The sequence below is a fragment of the Homo sapiens genome, chromosome 2 (genome assembly GCF_000001405.40).
Source record: "Homo sapiens chromosome 2, GRCh38.p14 Primary Assembly".
NCBI classification, from domain to species: Eukaryota; Metazoa; Chordata; class Mammalia; order Primates; family Hominidae; genus Homo; species Homo sapiens.
The window spans coordinates 71,457,567-71,474,948 of NC_000002.12; the positions used below are offsets into that span (position 1 = coordinate 71,457,567).

Below are 17,382 nucleotides of genomic sequence, written 5' to 3' on the forward strand. Positions count from 1 at the left end.
TCACGTGCGTGGTCCTTACTGCTGCTTGCTCACCCAAGCACAGACATCCTCAGCCCTTATGTTCTGGTCTTGCAGATGCTTTCTTATCTCAGGGGGTCCTTGCTCTCTGCCTCACCCTCTCTATATCTGATAGGACCAATCAGTCACCAGTTGATGCAGGACGCTCCCTCCAGGCAGTGCTCTCGTTCCGGGCAAGCTCACAGCTCTGACAGGACTATGGTGGCTGCCTAGGGTCTGATAAGCCAAGGCCAGGGCAATGGTCACATGGCACTGAGGTGGGCAACCTGTGGTGCGTATGGCAGGTGCTCCGGGACTTCCAGGGAGGGGGTCATGTAACTGTAGATCTCAAGCTTAGCCAGTCTAGGAGAAAGTGAAAGTTGGGCGGGGGGCTCAGAAGAGCGGCTAGCTGGCAGCCTGAGTCACAGTCCAGTGGGATAACAGCATCGAACAAGAGGGAGAGAAGGACTGCCTGCATCTTGAACTCGGGATCCCAGGTCTGCCACTTTTCAAGCTATGTGGCTTTGGGCAAGTTACTTAACCACTCTGTGTCAGTTTCCTTATCTGTAAAGTGTTGATAACAATAGCTTGTACCTGCTTTGGATGAATCATTCTGGAGAGTTTATGTGTTAGTCCATATAAAGCACTTCAAACAGCCAGGCAAGCAATAAATGTTAACTATAATAATTATTACATATACTTTTACATAAATTTATTATAATCATTACTATTAACATATATTGTACATGTACTAAGAAATAATTGTACACATCCACAAAGGCTTTCAATGTCTTTTTTGCTTGGTGAATTCTATCCTCAGCTTTGTTTCTCCATCCACTGTCCTGCCAGGCTGGACACAACAGGCCAAGTGGTGGGTGGCCGTCTGTCTGCCCCCAGGGACACTGGGCCTGTCTTCTCTGGCTGCCCCTCCTAGAGCAGTCCCTTCTGAGGCGAAGTCATTTGGCCACCTGCCTGATGGCTGGCAGTGGCCCTCACTGGGGTACTTTCTCTTTCTGGGAACAAGTATTCCTCTGGTGACTCACTAGCAGCCCACAAACCTCTTCAGTCCCTCTCCCCAGGCCAAACTCACTTTCTTTCTCTACTTCCTGCATGCTAGTCTCTTTCCAGATTGGTCCACTAGCATGGGATGTTAGCAGAGAGAGCGTTCACATCTACTGTGGATGTGCTGTGCCCCAAGCACTGTGCTGGAGTTGCTAGTGTTTTGTTTAATCCTCCCAACACCGCTGCAAACTGTCCTCATTCTTTTGATTGCACAGAAGTGGAAACAGACACTGAAAGGTCCAATCACATGCCTCAGGTCACACCACTAGGAAAGGGTGGCCTGGGACAGAAGCCCAGGACTGTCTGATTGTTTCCACTATGCACGATTTCTCCCCTGACAGGCCCTAATCATGGCTGTGGTCAGAACCAGGACTGCATGTGGGTTCTACCCTCTTGCTGGATACACAGGTCCCCTGTCAATTCCACCTGGTGGACTGGGATATCCGCCGGACACATATTCTTAAATGAATGTGAAGGGAGAGGGAAGAAGGCCTCATCTATACTTCCGGAAGCCTTTGGACATTGACAAATATGCCCTGAAGGAGTCCTGTCAACTCATGTAGAATGTTCCTCTAAAGGTCAGTGTCACTGAGCAGAGAGGCAAGGTTTGTTTGCCTCCTGGCACCCCATGTTTAAGTCTTGGGAAACACAAAGGACCAGCTAACATTAGGAGAATGTGGCCAGAGGAGAACTGGCCCAACTCCAGCAGCAAGAGATGATTAGAAGCATGCCTTCCTCGATGGTCAGGAAGGTAGGGCCACAAATAAGTAGTGACAGGGGTCACAAACTCATGCACTTCCAGAAACGTGGCAGGTGGACTAAGATCAAGCTGGAGGGGAAATCCTATGTGCATACTGGGAGTGAGCTGAGGGGGGGACACCTGGTCTACAGGTGCCAGACGGTCAGTGTTAGGTGGAAAATCTAGGCCCAGGTGCCACATTCTCTGATTTTTTTCAAGAGAAGCTGTAAATCCAGATTTATACGGAAAAGTCTTCTAATATTTAAGGTACAATTTTGTTATAAAACATTGTACTGATTAAAGACAACATGTCTGTGGGCTGGATGTGTCCCAGAGAACACCAGTGACCGCTTCTGAGACACAGTATTTCATTCAATCCTGGAGACCTTGGGCCTGGGCTCTCTGGAGGGCAGAGAGCCAGTGTCCTCTCCCTTGGGCTCATCAGGCAGCACCTGTCATCAGTGACTACAGGATGGAGTGAGTGGGAGAGCTTTAGTCCCCTTCCCCCTTAACCTCTGTCAGCCCCGAAACACTGCAATAAGCATGAAACTCAGTTTCCAAACAGGCCCCTCAAGCCCTTCCTTCCAGGCTATGGCTCCTAAGCTGGCCCCATCACCTTTACAGTGGGGCTGGAGTAGCCTGGGGTCCCGAGGAGCTGCCCTCACCTGAAGCCTCAGGTGGGATGCAGATCTAGCTATTTGTAAACAAGCCCTAACTAACATTGGTATAAGCATGATGGTCTCTCCACTCACATAATAGTTGAATGTAGACAGTCCTGACTGGTAAGACTCTGACCCACAGGCTGTCCAGGACCCCAGCTCCTCCTGTTTTATTGCTCTGTTATCCCCAGAAGTTCCCTTTGACAACGTGGTCCATGATGGCGCACGCCTCTGTCTATATTCCAGCCAGAGGGGAAAGGGGGCCGGGGAGGCGTGCCGCTTCCCTTTAAGGACATATCCAGGCAGTTATATACAGCCCTTCTGCTCATATTCTGTTGGTCATCAATTAGTCTCCTGGCTACATTCAGCTATGAGGGAGGCTGGGAAATGTTTTTATTTGGGTGACCATGTACCCAAGTAAAGTGCTGTGGAAAATTTCTGTGGATGAAGGGGAGAACATATACTGGGAGGTGGAGGTCAGGTCTCAGCCACACTCTCCATTAGAACTTAATTCCTGATAATGTCCCCTCGGGAGGAAGCCCTATTGAGTTACTAGGCCTCAGTATGAAGTCTGCAAGGGAACAGTCAGTTATCTGATTAGGGAGAAGTCCAGGTCAGTGAACATCAGCCAGACTAGGAAGTTGGAGGCTGGGATGAAAAGGAGGCCTCAGGAAGTGTCCAGGGGTCAGATCACCAGCAGTTGCTTTTCTGATTTGCAGAACAGATGTGGGGAGACCCTTTTCCTTGGATGCAAGCCAAGGGAAGGCAGAAGTCCCTTGGAATGTTCCTATGGAGGTATTAGTTATACCCCCTACAGATTTCCATTTCCTGTGGTGACTCTGAAGGACTGGAGCTGGGGTAGGGTGGGGTATGATAGGGGCAAAAGCAAAGCCAGGAATCATTGTGATAGACAGGAAAAAAAAAAAAAAAAGAAAAAGAAAAAGAAAAAAAGCTTTGTAATATCCAAAAGTCCCTCTAGGGGGCAGTACTATCCCCTTTGAGAACCACTGGCTGAACTCACCAGTGGGCAGAACCCACACCCGGGAGCCACGTGCAGTGTCCACTATACCAATGCCAGGCCAGTCCTGTACTACACGCTGGGAATACCTGGGTCACTAAGACAGACTTGGTCTCTCCCCTCGTTGACCAACTCCACAGTCTAGCTAGACACGAAACGGGTGATTACGCTAATAGTTATTCCTGACCATTGTGATGCGTGCTAAGAAGGAAAAGGGCTGCTGTGCAGTCATTTGCCAGAGGGACCCGTCTAGACCCCAGGATATCAGGGACTGCTTTCCTGGAGAGGTGATCTTTAAGCTGAGGCCTGAAGTATGAATAGGTGGTTCTGCAAAGAAAGAGAAGAAGGCAGCTGGAGGCAGAGAGAACAGCGGACCTCAGAGCTGAGAGGGAGCTTGGCATATTCTAGAAACTGACGAGGCACCGGAGCTAGAGCTAGGAGAGCGAGAGGTGGAATGGCCTTGCCCTTTGGCCCGAGGAAATGAATCTGGGCTTCATCCCAAGAGCACAGGAGGCCTTTGGATAAACCTCCCAAGAGGCTTTTAGCAGGAGATTGACCTGATCATATTTAAGATCACCTGGCTGCAGTGTGGATAATGGGTCAGACATAGCCAGAGTGATGATGTGATGAGGCGACTGACCAGCTAGGAGGCACCTGCAGTGGCCTGGGCAGGAGAGGGTGGTGGTAAGACTTGGTGGAGTCACTTGGATGCTGTGGGCACACAGATGGTACCAAAGTCACAGGGGTCAGTAAGGATGATTTAGGCTGCAAGCAACTGAAATCCTGGCTTAAATAGACTTAAATGAGCAGAGAGGCAAGGTTTGTTTGCCTCCTGGACACCCCATGTTTAAGCCTTGGGAAAATCAATTTATTAAATGCTAAGTAGTCTTAAGGGGATCAGCTCACTTAACTGGTGTCCAGAGACCCAGTGAGCTCTGGGCATATAGACTATACAACTCTGTCACAGGATCCTAAGGGTGTTGCTTTTTCCAGCTGGAAACCTCTGTGGCTGGTAGCACCTTTGCCTGAATTTTGCTTGGGCCCACTGGGCTCCTTCTGCCCACTCAGCCTGGCAGGCTGTGCTCAGCTCTCAGTACCAGCCCTGATCCCACGCCTGCGAAGGGCGAGCCAGGCACTGAACAGCAAGGGGTGTGTGAGTGAGTGCAGGGTCCAGCCACTGCGCACAGCCAGGCATGCCAGCTGTGGTGGGGCAGGCAGCTCCAGGTGCTGGTACAGGCACTGGCTCTGTGCCAGGCTGCGGCTGGGCCAGGCATACTGGAAGGGGCTTCCACTGTGGCTACTGGGGAATGTGGTGGTGCCCAGAAGCTTGGAGGCACCAGGAACTGCAGAGCCCCAAAGAGGGTGTCACAGCCATGTCACCCCTAGGTCTGGGCTCCCCAAAGTGCTGAAGCTTTATCTCGTTCTCGTTGCCTGCAACATGGCGAGCAGGGTTGGGGTGGGGGGCAGGCTGTTTCAGCCTTGTTTGTCTTACAGCTCTTTCAGTCCTGCTGTTCAGTGGGTCCTGGGTCCTTGTCCTATGTCCAGGAAGAATAGGTACACAGACAACTGGATGGTGAGCAAGGTGGAGAGAGCTTCACTGAGTGACAGAACAGCTCTCAGGAAACCCGAAGTGGGTAGTTCCTTTCTGCAGGCAGGTCCTCCTGATAAGTGTCTAGCTTTCAGCAGAGAGGAGACCCACATAGGGTAGCTCGTCACCGCAGGCAGGTCTTCCCGACAAGTGGAGGAGACCTGACCTGGAGTGGGTAGTTCCTTCCTGTACCTGGTAGTCCCAACATCTGTCTGAGTCTAGCTGAGTCCTGGGATTTTATGGGCTCAGAAGGGAGGAAGTGTGTGCTGTTTGGTCCATGGGTGACCAGGAGCAGGCTGGGGGAAAAAGCACCATAAGTTCTCACTCTGGGCTGAGGACTCCACCTGGAACTGGCAGCCCAGCCCCCAGGCTTCAGGCCATCCCTGGCTTGTAGGTGGGGTTTCACTGAGGACCCACCCCTTTCTGCCCAGGAGCCTGTCTGCCTCCTGCTGCCATCAACATGTCGTCTAGGGCACCTAGGCTGTTCATGCAGAGGGGTGCTTGCAGTTCCAGGTGGAGCTACCCCTCAGCTTCCCTCCTGAGCTTGTCAGTGCTCAAAGTCTGGAGGGGGTTGAGGCAGCAGGGGGCTGGCATCTCAGTGCCACCACAAGTGTGCACACATCTGGCTGGGTTGCAACAGCATGTGGGCTTGGACACAACTTTGCTCCACCCTGGAGTGGGTGACTGGAGTTGGGAGAGGCCAGAGATGGGGCGAAGGCACTTCTGAGCCTGCAAGCTTCCTGGGCCCCAGAGAGTGCAGGGATGCCTGGATCTGGGGCCGCAGCCAAACGGCTGCAGCTGTGCCTGGGAGCTTGGGGCTCCCACCCCACCAACTTGGTAGGGGGCGGGGCTCCCACCTGTTCCCAGCCCCCACCGGCTCTGCAGAGTGCACAACACTGGCCAGACTCTCCACTGCAGCCCACGTCTTGGCAGTGGCCACTCCAGATGGGCCGCTGCTGCCAGCAACTCCATAGTATCATCCTGTACCCAGGCAGGCTCCATGTTTCTCTCTGATCTGCTGTCCATGATGTCTGCTATGTCCTCAACTGGTCAGCAATTGGATCTGCAAGCTTCCTTATGCACACAAAGCAGGAGAGGGAGTTGGGCTTCTCTATTCATGGCATATAAATCTGTCTTTCCAGGGGAACAACTTAGGACACATACCTCTAGCTAGACCAATAGCCGTTGCCAAGAAATATGCTCAGATAGAGTGGGATCCATCCTGGAGCTGGGGCTGCATAACTGAGCAGTCAGGTTCTGCTAGAAGGGAAGGGGGTCTGGATGGATGTTGAGGGAATCAAATGTCCGCCTCATCTTGAGGGGAGAAGAGAAGGGTAGAGCTGGGAGGAAGCAGCAAGGGTCCAAGCAGCTAGAGAAGGCGTTGTGATGAGAACAGGCTCAGACTCTCCTCTCTTTCCTTTTCCCCACCCCCATGCTCATCCTAGCTCTGTCCTTTACCGACCTTCCACTTCTTGGGAGCTGTAGATGTGGTTGCCACCCTCTGTGGTCTCTACCCCTTGACTGGAAGCTCCCTGAGGGCAGGGATGTGACTTATTCCCAGCAAGTCAGAGGTGATGGGTGAATGTTTATTCTTTCAGTCCATCATTTAGAAAGAATTTATGGAGACCATGCTTTGCACCAGGTGCTGTTTCAGGCACTGAGGAAACAGCAGTGGACAAAACAGACAAAAACCCCTGGCTCCTTGGAGCAGACATTCTGATGGGGAAGACAGAAAACAATTAAGACACATGTGCTATACAGTGATTGGTGCTAGAGAAGAAGCCTGAAAGGGAGATGAAAGAGGGAAAGTTGTGGTGTTCAGTTGTGTGGCCGGGTTGGTCTCACTGGAGTTGATATCTGAAGGAAAGGAAGACATGCCAGCCAGAGGGAACAGCTGACAGAGACCCTGGGGAGGCGCTGGTCTGGCCTGTCTGGGGAACAGCTGGAAGGCTAGCATGGGTCCTGGGGAGGTCAGAGAGGTCAGCCAGGGCTTTCAAGGTCACGTAAGGGGAGAGTGGCTGGAGAGGAGGTCAGCGAGGTCAGCCAGGGCTTTCAAGGTCACGTAAGGCCTTTGAGTTTTGCACTGAGTGAGATGGGAGCCAACGGAAGACTTTGAGTAGAACCAGGTCATGAGAATTGAATTGAGGATAGACCATGGGGACAAGGGCAGAGCAGGAGACGCATTGGGAGTCCATGGAGTCGATTAAATGACTCAGGCAAGGGATGACAGGCTTCCACTGGGGGCAGTTACAATGGAGATGGTGAGATATGGTGGGATTTTGGACATATTTTGAAGGAGAGTGGGAGGGGGATTTGCAGTTTTGGTGACCTGGTGGGGTTGAAGGTGTCACTGGGTGGGTTCAAGAGAGAATGGAGGAGGGAGATTGGAGACAGAAAGTATGGAGAGCTCCTTCAAAGGGCATTGTTGTGAAAAGGGAGAAATGACCAGTAGCTGAAGGGGATGTGGGGTCAACGGTGTGCTTTCTTGAGAGCAATAACATCATGCTTGTGTGCCGATGGGATGATCCGGTAAACAGGGGAACTTGGTAAGGCAAGAGAGTGAGAGAATCACTGCAGGCTCACCACTGAATGGGCGAGAGGGGATGGGGTCTATGCCCAAGTGTCCAGTTGTTACCAGTGGGGAGTACGGGTGATTCATTTGTAGGAACAGGAGAGAACTCACAGGATTTGGGCACAGATGCCGAGGGCGGGCGTTAGAAGGAGACTGGGGACCTGAAGAAGTTCTCTGCTCCGTAAAGAGGAAGCAAACTGAGAGTGAGGTTGGGCGATGGGGTGTCCTAGGGGCATCCGGGAGACAGGGAGACAAGACATATAGTATGATTGCCCCCAGCAGTGAGGGCTCGCTTGAGTTAAGGGTCATGACTACAAAAGGCACCACTCAGGCCGGCTGTGTTACTCTCCAACACAGCACTGGTTGGGGGCAGGTGTGGAGGAGGCGGAGTTGGATTCGCCAGGGTTATGGCTTAGCCCTGTGAGAATGCTGTATCCCTCAAAATAAGAGAGGGGAAAGGGAGTTGAGATTTTGCGCAGCAGTGCGTTTAGGCTGAGTGAGCAGGTTGGTTAGTGAGGACTTGGGCGGTGGGAAGACGGACAGTGCCCTGACAGGGGCTAGGTGCTGGAGTGCTGGGGGATAGAAGTGCGAAGCCAGGGCCCCTGTGTCAAGAAGTTCATACGCTGGAAAGGAACCAGACATAATAAGCGAAACGACTGTCACCGTTCATGGCTTACACCTTGAACAGCTTTCCACTGTGGAGACTAGGGAGTGTAGAGATTGTTGGGGATGGGGGACTTGCAGGGGACAGAATGGGCCGCAGCTGGACCCTAGTTCTCCAGGGAACGCAGTATGATTTGAATACAGATCTCTGCCTCCAGAGATGAGTGACTCGACACCGCTGCGGAGAAGGCTCCGAGGAGGGTTGGTGGGGACTCGAACCTCGGAGTCTCTCCCGACCCGGGGGTCCCAGCAAACCAGAACGGCCACCTAGACAGCCTGCGGACGGGAGAGGACCGGCTCCCTGGCGCAGATCATGGGGCAGGTGGAGAGAGGCGAGAGGCAATGAGGCGGGGGGCTCGGGGTGCACGGCACGCTCCGCACACTCCCCCTTCAGCGCTCACTCAGACTTGGTTTCCCCGAAGACACACTCTCGTCCCCGCCGCTGATTGCCCACTCCTTCCGCCTGCACTCCTGCCTCCTTCTCACCCTTTCGTCGAGCGCACAGGGCGGCTGCCAAGTCGGCACCGGTGCGCACCGGGCCCGGGATCCCTGGCTGGTGTGGAGCCTTGGTCACCGGAGGCCCCCGCGGAGCAGGCCCCACGGCGCCTTGTGCGCTCTCGGAGGCCGAGCTGCGCGCCCGCGTCAGCGGCGCCTCGTTCCTGGCCGGGAGCTGGGACCCGCGGAGCTAGGGACCAGCACCCCCACAGGCGCCCGTCTGACCCCTGTCCCTCCCCGCCCGCCGCGGGCAGGGCGGATCTGGGTAGGGGCCGGAGGGGGAGGGTCCGCCCAGCGGGTGTCCGGTGTCCTCCCTGCAGCCTCTCCCAGGCATTGGTCACTTCTCCGCGGAGGAGCAGCGAAGGCGACAGCTCTCTTGGCGCGGCTGCCTGGGAGCCGGGCGCTTGCTGGGTGGGTGCTCGGGCCCGGTGCTCCCGCTCCCGCCCTGACTGCGCGCCTGTGTGCCGCCGGGGCTGCCCAGCCATGCTGTGCTGCCTGCTGGTGAGGGCCAGCAACCTCCCCAGTGCGAAGAAGGACCGGCGCAGCGACCCTGTCGCAAGCCTGACTTTCCGAGGTGAGAGCCCCGTGGCTGCCGCGCCCATGCTCGGGTGCTACCCGACTCTCGGCGCTCACTGGCGGGTCTGAAGCCCCTGCTCCGGAGCTAACCCTAGTCCAGGCCACAGTTTCTCCCTTTGTCAGCAGGGACGGAAATCCCAGCCCCGACTTCTGCAGGGGGGCGATGAGGAATAAGCAGAGCACAATAAATGCCACAGGGCTTTGAAAAATTGGAAAAGCGAAAGTGCCGTAGGTCAGCGGTTATCACTTTTCTAAGACTGACACCCAGAGGAAATAAAGTCCGAGCTTTTACTGGGTAGTGGGGATAAGGGTAAGTTGGAAGATGGGTGCAGAAGGTAGAGAGGAATCAGGGCCTCTGAAAAACGGGGCGTGTAGATGATGTGCTTTGAAAGTTGTGTCTTTTTTCATTCATTCATTCATTCATTCACCCATCTTTATCCAACATTGGCTGTATTGAATCTGCCCCGTCTTAATCAGTAGGAAAAGGAACAGAATAGGATGGAAATGGCCTTGACACAAGGAGTTTTGAGGAATGTCAAGGATATTTTCTCTAAATTCAAGAAGCTAAGTCCCTACATGTAGTGCTTAGAATACATACAGGTATTTCTGTGTGGGGCAGCAGAGAAATCACACACACACTCCTCTTCTCACCAGGCGTCCTGAACCCCCTCCCCCAACCCCTCCAAGGCAGATTCCCACTGGAGCGGGTGTCTCAGGAGGGGAAAGGGAAGAGGAAGGATCTGTCAAAATTAAGAGAAGGAACAATAGCTGTGAGTCAGGACCCCAGTTCTGCAGAGAAAGATAAATCAGGAGAGGAAAGAGGGTTTCCACTTAGCCAGGAGCCATACCCTGTAGCTTTGTGGAATCGATAATAATAATAATAAAAATCTACGTATCAGAAAAGATAGTCAAATGAAGAAGGAAGAGTAGCTGGTGTTTTCATAAGCCTCCTTCAGTGCAGGCACCAAGGGAACTCTTTTCAGTCTGACCCATGATCTGAATCATATCTCCAAGCACCCCCAAGATAATGATAGATGAAAGACATGATTTGGCAAAGGGAGATTTATGTGTAGCTTTTATTCTTTGCTGTGGGACAAGTTATATGTATTCCTCTTTTGAAAGATGTGATTTGAAACGTTTAAGAAAATTTCACTATTTTCATTGATTGGTGACATGCCTGGGAGTTCACTATGCAAGAGCAACTTCAAGACAAAGTCTTTCCTTCTCCAGTGTCCACCTGATGCTGCCTAAGGCTTTGCTATGCAGAAATTGCGGTGTCACCATTGGCTGGAAAAGAAATTCCCTAAGGACACTGGGCAGGGCACACATTAGCATAGGGCTCTGGATGCTCTAACACTCGTTTGGGTCTGCTCACAGCTCTTTCCCTTGTCCTGTAACAGTCCTGTGGTGGCTACCAATGTCTCCATTCTGCAAATAAGGAAATTGAAACCCAGGGAAGTTAAATGTGTTCAGGTCAGTGGTCATGGCAGGGAGCTACCAGCGCTTGGAGTGGGTATTGCCCTTGAGTCGGGAAGATGACCAAATCCCTTGAGGCCCCTCTTTACTATTGCCCTCGCCCAAGTACCCCGAACACGTGCAGCTGCTATCTCCCCCCAGATCTCTGTATTCCTTCTTTGTAATGCCTTACTATTTATTTGCACTGATGATCTCCTCGGAAAACAGAAATACCATACAATAGAATGTAACATCTCCAACCGTTTCAAGTCTATTTGTATTTCAAAGCCCAGGGCAATGCCACCTTCTCCAGGAGGACACCCTGGATCCCCCTGGCTCTCAAGAGTCTCTCCTCTCTGGATGACAAGCAGCAGCACCTTGCTAGGGATGCTAGCACCCTCGCCCTGACTGGCCTGTGCTCAGCTCCATGCTTAGGTGCCTTGAGAGCAGTGACCTGTCCTATTTGTTCATTGGTTTGTCCCAGTGCTGAGCACAAGTAGGTGCTCTCTAGTGTTTGTGCGCTTTCTGGCCCAGCCTCTAGCCATCCTCCAGGTGTGCCTGGGAGCTTCATTTAGTCTGGGACATGGTCCGCTCACTTGATTGTTCCTGAGAATCACTTGTAGAACGTGTTTGAGAAACAGATTCCAGAGTCCCCATCTGTAGAGGTTCCGATGCAGCAGGTCTGGAAGGTGACCTAAGAATCAGCACTTAACAAATACCCGATGCAGGTTATTTTGGAACCGCATCTTGGGAAAAATGGGTCTGAGATGTGATGGCAGGTGAAATTAATGCGCTCCCCATTGCGGGAGCATTCACTGGGGAGTTTGGGGCTGAGTTGATGCCTAAGGAGGGAAACCGTTAGAACCAGGTTCAGAACTTACAGAGCATGTAGGCTGGGGGGACTCAACTCTGGCTGCAGGTCAACATTGTGTGTGGGAGCTTCACCAAAGACCACTGCCAACCTCCCTGCCTGCCTTTTCTGAAGCCAGATCCCTTCCGGTGGGGCCCCAGGCATAGGTGTTGTTTCTGTCAAATTTCCAGGTGTTTTGAATGTGCAGTCAGGGTTGAGAACCACTGAGCCCAGCTCCTCATGGCACAGATGGGACAGTGGCCTGCTTGCAGAGAAGCCAGCCTGCACTGTGTGTTTGGCTCCTACAGGCAGCCTGAAATGTATGGGGCTGGGCTGGCCCCACTTTCCTTGCAGTTGTTCCCTGTCTCGGATGTAATTTCAGGACCTGCCTCCCAAAATAGACTATGAGCTCTGGGAGGCTGGACTCTGAGGGCAATTTTTTGGCTTCCCTGTCTAAGCACCTCTATTAATAGTAGAGGCTACTAATGAATACTTCTCATTCTTTTGTTTTTCTATTAATTAATTCATTAACTAAAACTACCATGAGTAACTGGGCCATAGTAGATATTTTTGACTGATTGTGTCAACGAGCAGCTTAATTTCCTATAGCATTTAATTGTCTGTACTTCTTTTCTGCCCTGCCCATTTTCCATTCCTTAATGTGATTATTTATATCCCTCTATTCATGCAGTTAGTTCATTGAACAAATATTTACTGAGTACCTACTACGTGCCTGGTGCTTTTCTAGGTGCTTGGATGCATACAAGAACAAAACCAGATCCCTACTGCTTTAAAGCTGAAACATCTTATTTCCTTGAAGGCCAGATCTGCTGCGTCCCCACTTGGTGAATTTCTGCCCTGTGTCATCAGCCAGGAACCCAGAAGTCATTACTGACACTTCCCTCTCTCTCATCCTGTCAGGGCGTCTCCTCCTCCAGCCTCCCCCTCCCACCTCTTCTCTTCTTGATCTCCTGGGGGTCTCTAGATTTGGGGCAGGAGTTGGGGGATCTTATAGAACTAGTTGGAGGTGGATTCCTGTCGTCAGGGAACACTCTTAACTCACCTATGTAGGGAAAGTGGGCTGAAGGCCCCGGACTCTCTGAACCTAGCTGTTTACATATTACAAATGACTTAAAATATTGAAAACAGCGGCCAGGCGTGGTGGCTCACGCCTGTAATCCCAGCAATTTGGGAGGCCAAGGCGGGTGGATCATGAGGTCAGGAGATCGAGACAATCCTGGCTAACATGGTGAAACCCTGTCTCTACTAAAAATACAAAAAAAATTAGCCGGGTGTGGTGGTGGGTGCCTGTAGTCCCAGCTACTCGGGAGGCTGAGGCAGGAGAATGGCATGAACCCAGGAGACGGAGGTTGCAGTGAGCCAAGATTGAGCCACTGCACTCCAGCCTGGGTGACAGAGTGAGACTCCATCTCAAAAAAAAAAAAAAAAAAAAGAAAAGAGCTTTCTCTTCTCTTCCTTCTTTCCTTCCTTCCTTCTTTCCTTCCTTCCTTCCTTCCTTCCTTCCTTCCTTCCTTCCTTCCTTCATTCCTTCCTTCTTTTTTTTTTTTGAAATGGACTTTCACTCTTATTACCCAGGCTGGAGTGCAATGGCACGTTGTCGGCTCATTGCAACCGCCGCCTCCCAGGTTCGAGTGATTCTCCTGCCTCAGCCTCCCGAGTAGCTGGGATTACAGGCACCTGCAACCATGCCTGGCTAATTTTTATTTTTATTTTTAGTAGAGATGGGGTTTCACCATGTTGCCCAGGCTGGTCTCAAACTCCTGACATCAGTCAATCCACCCACCTTGGCCTCCCAAAGTGCTTGGATTACAGGTGTCAGCCACCCCGCCTAGCCTGTTTTCTTTTTATAAACATAATATGTACTTGCTGTTAAAAATGACAAACTACAGAAAGGCCATGAGGCAAGAGTAAAAAATAGCCCCAAATCCTGCCACTTTGAATTAACTTGTTAACAATTTGACACATTTCCTCCAAGATTTTTTTTCTTAAAAATTTTAGTTATAAAATTTAACATACAAGGAAAGTGCAGAAGATATAAATATATGATTTAATACAGTAGTTCTCAACTGGGGGCAGTTTTTTCCTCAGATGACATTTGCCAATGTCTGGAGACATTTTGGGTTGTTGCCACAGGGGTTGGGGGCACAGGGTGTTTATCTACAGGGTAGAGGCTGAGGATGCTGCTAGACATTCCACAGTGCAAGGGGAGGTCCCCCACACCAACCACAGAGTGATTCAGCCCACATAGTAATCATGCCACGGTTGAGAATAAATATGTGTGTGAAGAGAATAACTATGTAATATCACCCAGGTCAAACAGGTCAAGAAATAGCACCTGGCCAGCCCCATTTCTCCACCAGAAGTAATCCCATCATAGATTTTTTTTTTCCCAAATGTTTGCACATTTGCTGAAAAATAAACCAGGGGGCCGGGTGTGGTGGCTCACGCCTGTAATCCCAGCACTTTGGGAGGCTGAGGTGGGCGGATTGCTTGAGGCCAGGAGTTCCAGGCCAGCCAACAGGGTGAAACCCTGTCTCTACTGAAAAATACAAAAATTAGCCAGGCATGGTGGTGTGTGCCTGTAATCCCAGCTACTTGAGGGGCAGAGGCACAAGAATCGCTTGAACCCAGGAGGTGGAGGCTGCAGTGAGCCGAGATCTCACCACTGCTCTCCAGCCTGGATGACAGAATGAGACTCAGTCTCAAAAACATCAATTAATTAATTAAAAAAAAATCCAGGGTCATTTTTTATGTCAGTAAGTATTCTTCTATAACACCTTTATAAATATCTGCGTAATATTTTCTTATATGGATGCACCATCATTAATTTACTCAACCCCCTACTGATGAATATTTAGGTTATATAAGTGTTTATATTTATATCCAGTGCTTAAATTATACAGTCACTGTGAGGCATATTCTGGTGACTACATCTTTGGCCACATATTTAATTATTTCCTTTGGGTAAATACCAGAAGATGAATTGCTATGTCAGAGGTTATAGACAGATTTAATGCGTTGCTGCATTTCCCAAATTGTTCTTGAAGTCTGTATCAACTTTATCCTCCTGTCAGCCAAGTATGAGGGCTTATTTTTCTAATAATCCTGCTAACACACAGCATTGTCCTGTAAATCTTTGACACTTTCTTTCTTTTTTTTCTTTTTGACAGAGTCTCATTCTGTCGCCCAGGCTGGAGTGGAGTGGCGCGATCTCGGCTCACTGCAAGCTCTGCCTCCCGGGTTCACGCCATTCTCCTGCCTCAGCCTCCCAAGTAGCTGGGACTACAGGCGTCCACCACCACGCCAGGCTAATTTTTTGTATTTTTAGTAGAGACGGGGTTTCACCATGTTAGCCAGGATGGTCTGGATCTCCTGACTTCGTGATCCACCCGCCTTGGCCTCCCAAAGTGCTGGGATTACAGGCGTGAGCCACCGCGCCAAGCCAACACTTTCTTAAGGTTCAAATAGTATTTGTGATACTTCATTGTTATCACCTATTCGTATTTATTCTTACTGAATTACTTTTTCATTTGCCCATGGTGGAGCATGTTTGTCTTTTTCTTCATTAGTTGCAAGTGCTCTTTATGTATTGAGAATGTTACCGTTTTTGTCATAGATGTTTCTAGTATCTTCTCCAGTTCTGTTTGTTTTTCTTTAATTGGCAAGTAAAAATTATATGTAAATATCTTCCCCAGTTCTAATGTAAATATCTTCCCCAGGCCTTCTGAGTTTAAAGACTACTCTTCTTGAAGTGCATTTCACCCTGGCTCCCTCCCTTTTTGGCCACTTCTGTGGTTCCAGCTAGGATTTAGGAAGGTGGGGTGGAGGGTGGTTGACGGGGAGAGGAGCAGTGCTCTGCTGATGATAGGGGAGACAGCTGCCCAGTTCTTGGGGTGTCCAGGCCTGAGAACACCATGGCAGGGCAGGTGTCAGAATGACCATCTACCTCTGCTTTTTGTTTGGGGGTGTCTGTACCAAGAGGTAATACAGGCCTTCCTTCAGCCCACGCTAGGGCCATCTTTTCTCCTTTCACTTGCTGCTGCCTTTGGGTTTTCTGCTGATTCTTTGAATTTCTGTCACTTTCTTGGTCTTATGTGTATTCTAATGGGGCCGTCAAGAAACGCCCTGCACAAAGTAAGCCCTCAATAAATATCTGGGGGATAAGCAAGAGTCTGCATCTAGGCTGCTGCAGGATCCAAAGCCCCCTGCAGCTTCTGAGAGTAACTCCTGTTGCCTGACTCATGGGCAGATGCAGCTGTCTCTCTGTCTCTCTCACTGGGAGTCTGAGACACCGCAACTCCTCTCCTTCTCTCTGTCCCCTCTCTAGGAGGGACATCCGAGACTGGGAGACATCTTCTGCTCCTCCTGCTTCCCATTCGCCAAGCCGATACTGGCCAGTAGACCTCAGGCCCACCACCTGTGTCCATTCCATTTCCCACCTGGACTTAAAAAAAATTGTGGTAAAATGCACATAACATGAAATGTACCATCTTAGCCATTTTTAAGTATACAGTTCTGTGGCATTAATCATTGTGCAGTTATCACCATCTCCAGAACTTGTCATCCTCCCCAGCTGAAACTCTATACCCATTGAACACTAACTCCCTATTCCCCTCCCTCACCGCCCCTGGTAATTGCAGTTCTACTTTCTGTATGATTTTTTTTTTTTTTTTTTTTTTTTTGAGACAGAGCTTTTCTCTTGTTGCCCAGGCTGGAGAGCAATGGTGTGATCTTGGCTCACCACAACCTCTGCCTCCCGGGTTCGAGTGATTCTCTTCCCTCAGCCTCCCGAGTAGCTGGGATTACAGGCATGTGCCACCACGCCTGGCTAATTTTGTATTTTTAGTAGAGACAGGGTTTCTCCATGTTGGTCAGGCTGGTCTGGAACTCCTGACCTCAGGTGATCCACCCGCATCCACCTCCCAAAGTGCTGGGATTACAGGCGTGAGCAACCATGCCCAGCCGATTTTGACTACCCTAGGTACCTCATATAAATGGAATCACACACTATTTGTCTTTTTGTAACTGGCTGAGTCACTCAGTCTAGAGGAACCCTCAGGGTTTCATCATGAATCTTACACCTGTTGCTGGTCCCCAGTTCCTCAGAGCAGTTTGGGAAGAGGGCATGGCCCCCTTTCCTCACCCAGCATAAGCTGTGAGCTCTCCTGTATCTTCAACTTCTGTTAAATTACATGCATAAAGCCACATCTCTCAAGGCCTAAATTAATAATCAGGAACAGGGCAGGCCAAAATCCATGATGAGGAACTATTTTCTTAACAGTTTCCTAATTATCAATGTGCCTTCCCTTTTCTTGGTGCCTGTAAATCACGTGATTGTGCTTAGTGAATGTTTCGTTTCTTTCTTTCTCCTCTTTGGGGCTGCAGCACCCATGAGTGACCCCTTCCTTCATGTTACCCAGAGGGTCCCAGAGTTGGCCCTTCTAACCAGGACTTAGTGAAATCTCATTGAGAGCTTTTATTCTCCTCATCTACAGGGAAGGTAGGAAGTGGAAAATGATTAAAAGATATTTAGCACAGGGCTTGGCACACAGATATCGCTCAGTTAAGGAAGCCTGGAGCACCAGGAAATGAGTTTCCAAGTGTGCAACTCATGAGAGGCTGCAGATGGAATTTTCCATGTTACTCCTGTAGGTCACAGGAAGCTGATCTGTGATAGGGGAGGGGAA

The 17,382-nt window shown here is 50.6% G+C and overlaps 1 protein-coding gene across 14 annotated transcripts in view; it reads left to right on the plus strand.

The window, feature by feature from the left end:
* The window catches only part of DYSF (dysferlin), a 233,203-nt gene that overhangs the window by 4,006 nt on the left and 211,815 nt on the right, over positions 1-17,382 (plus strand). For 7 of the 14 annotated variants that reach the window (NM_001130982.2, NM_001130987.2, NM_001130985.2 and 4 more), the window contains exon 1: positions 9,133-9,367. The exons of the other annotated variants lie outside the window; for them this stretch is intronic. In NM_001130982.2, coding sequence (NP_001124454.1) covers positions 9,277-9,367 — 91 coding nt within the window. In that variant the 5' untranslated portion in view covers positions 9,133-9,276. Of the gene's footprint in view, positions 1-9,132; positions 9,368-17,382 lie in introns of those variants that run through there. 14 annotated transcript variants of the gene reach the window in all.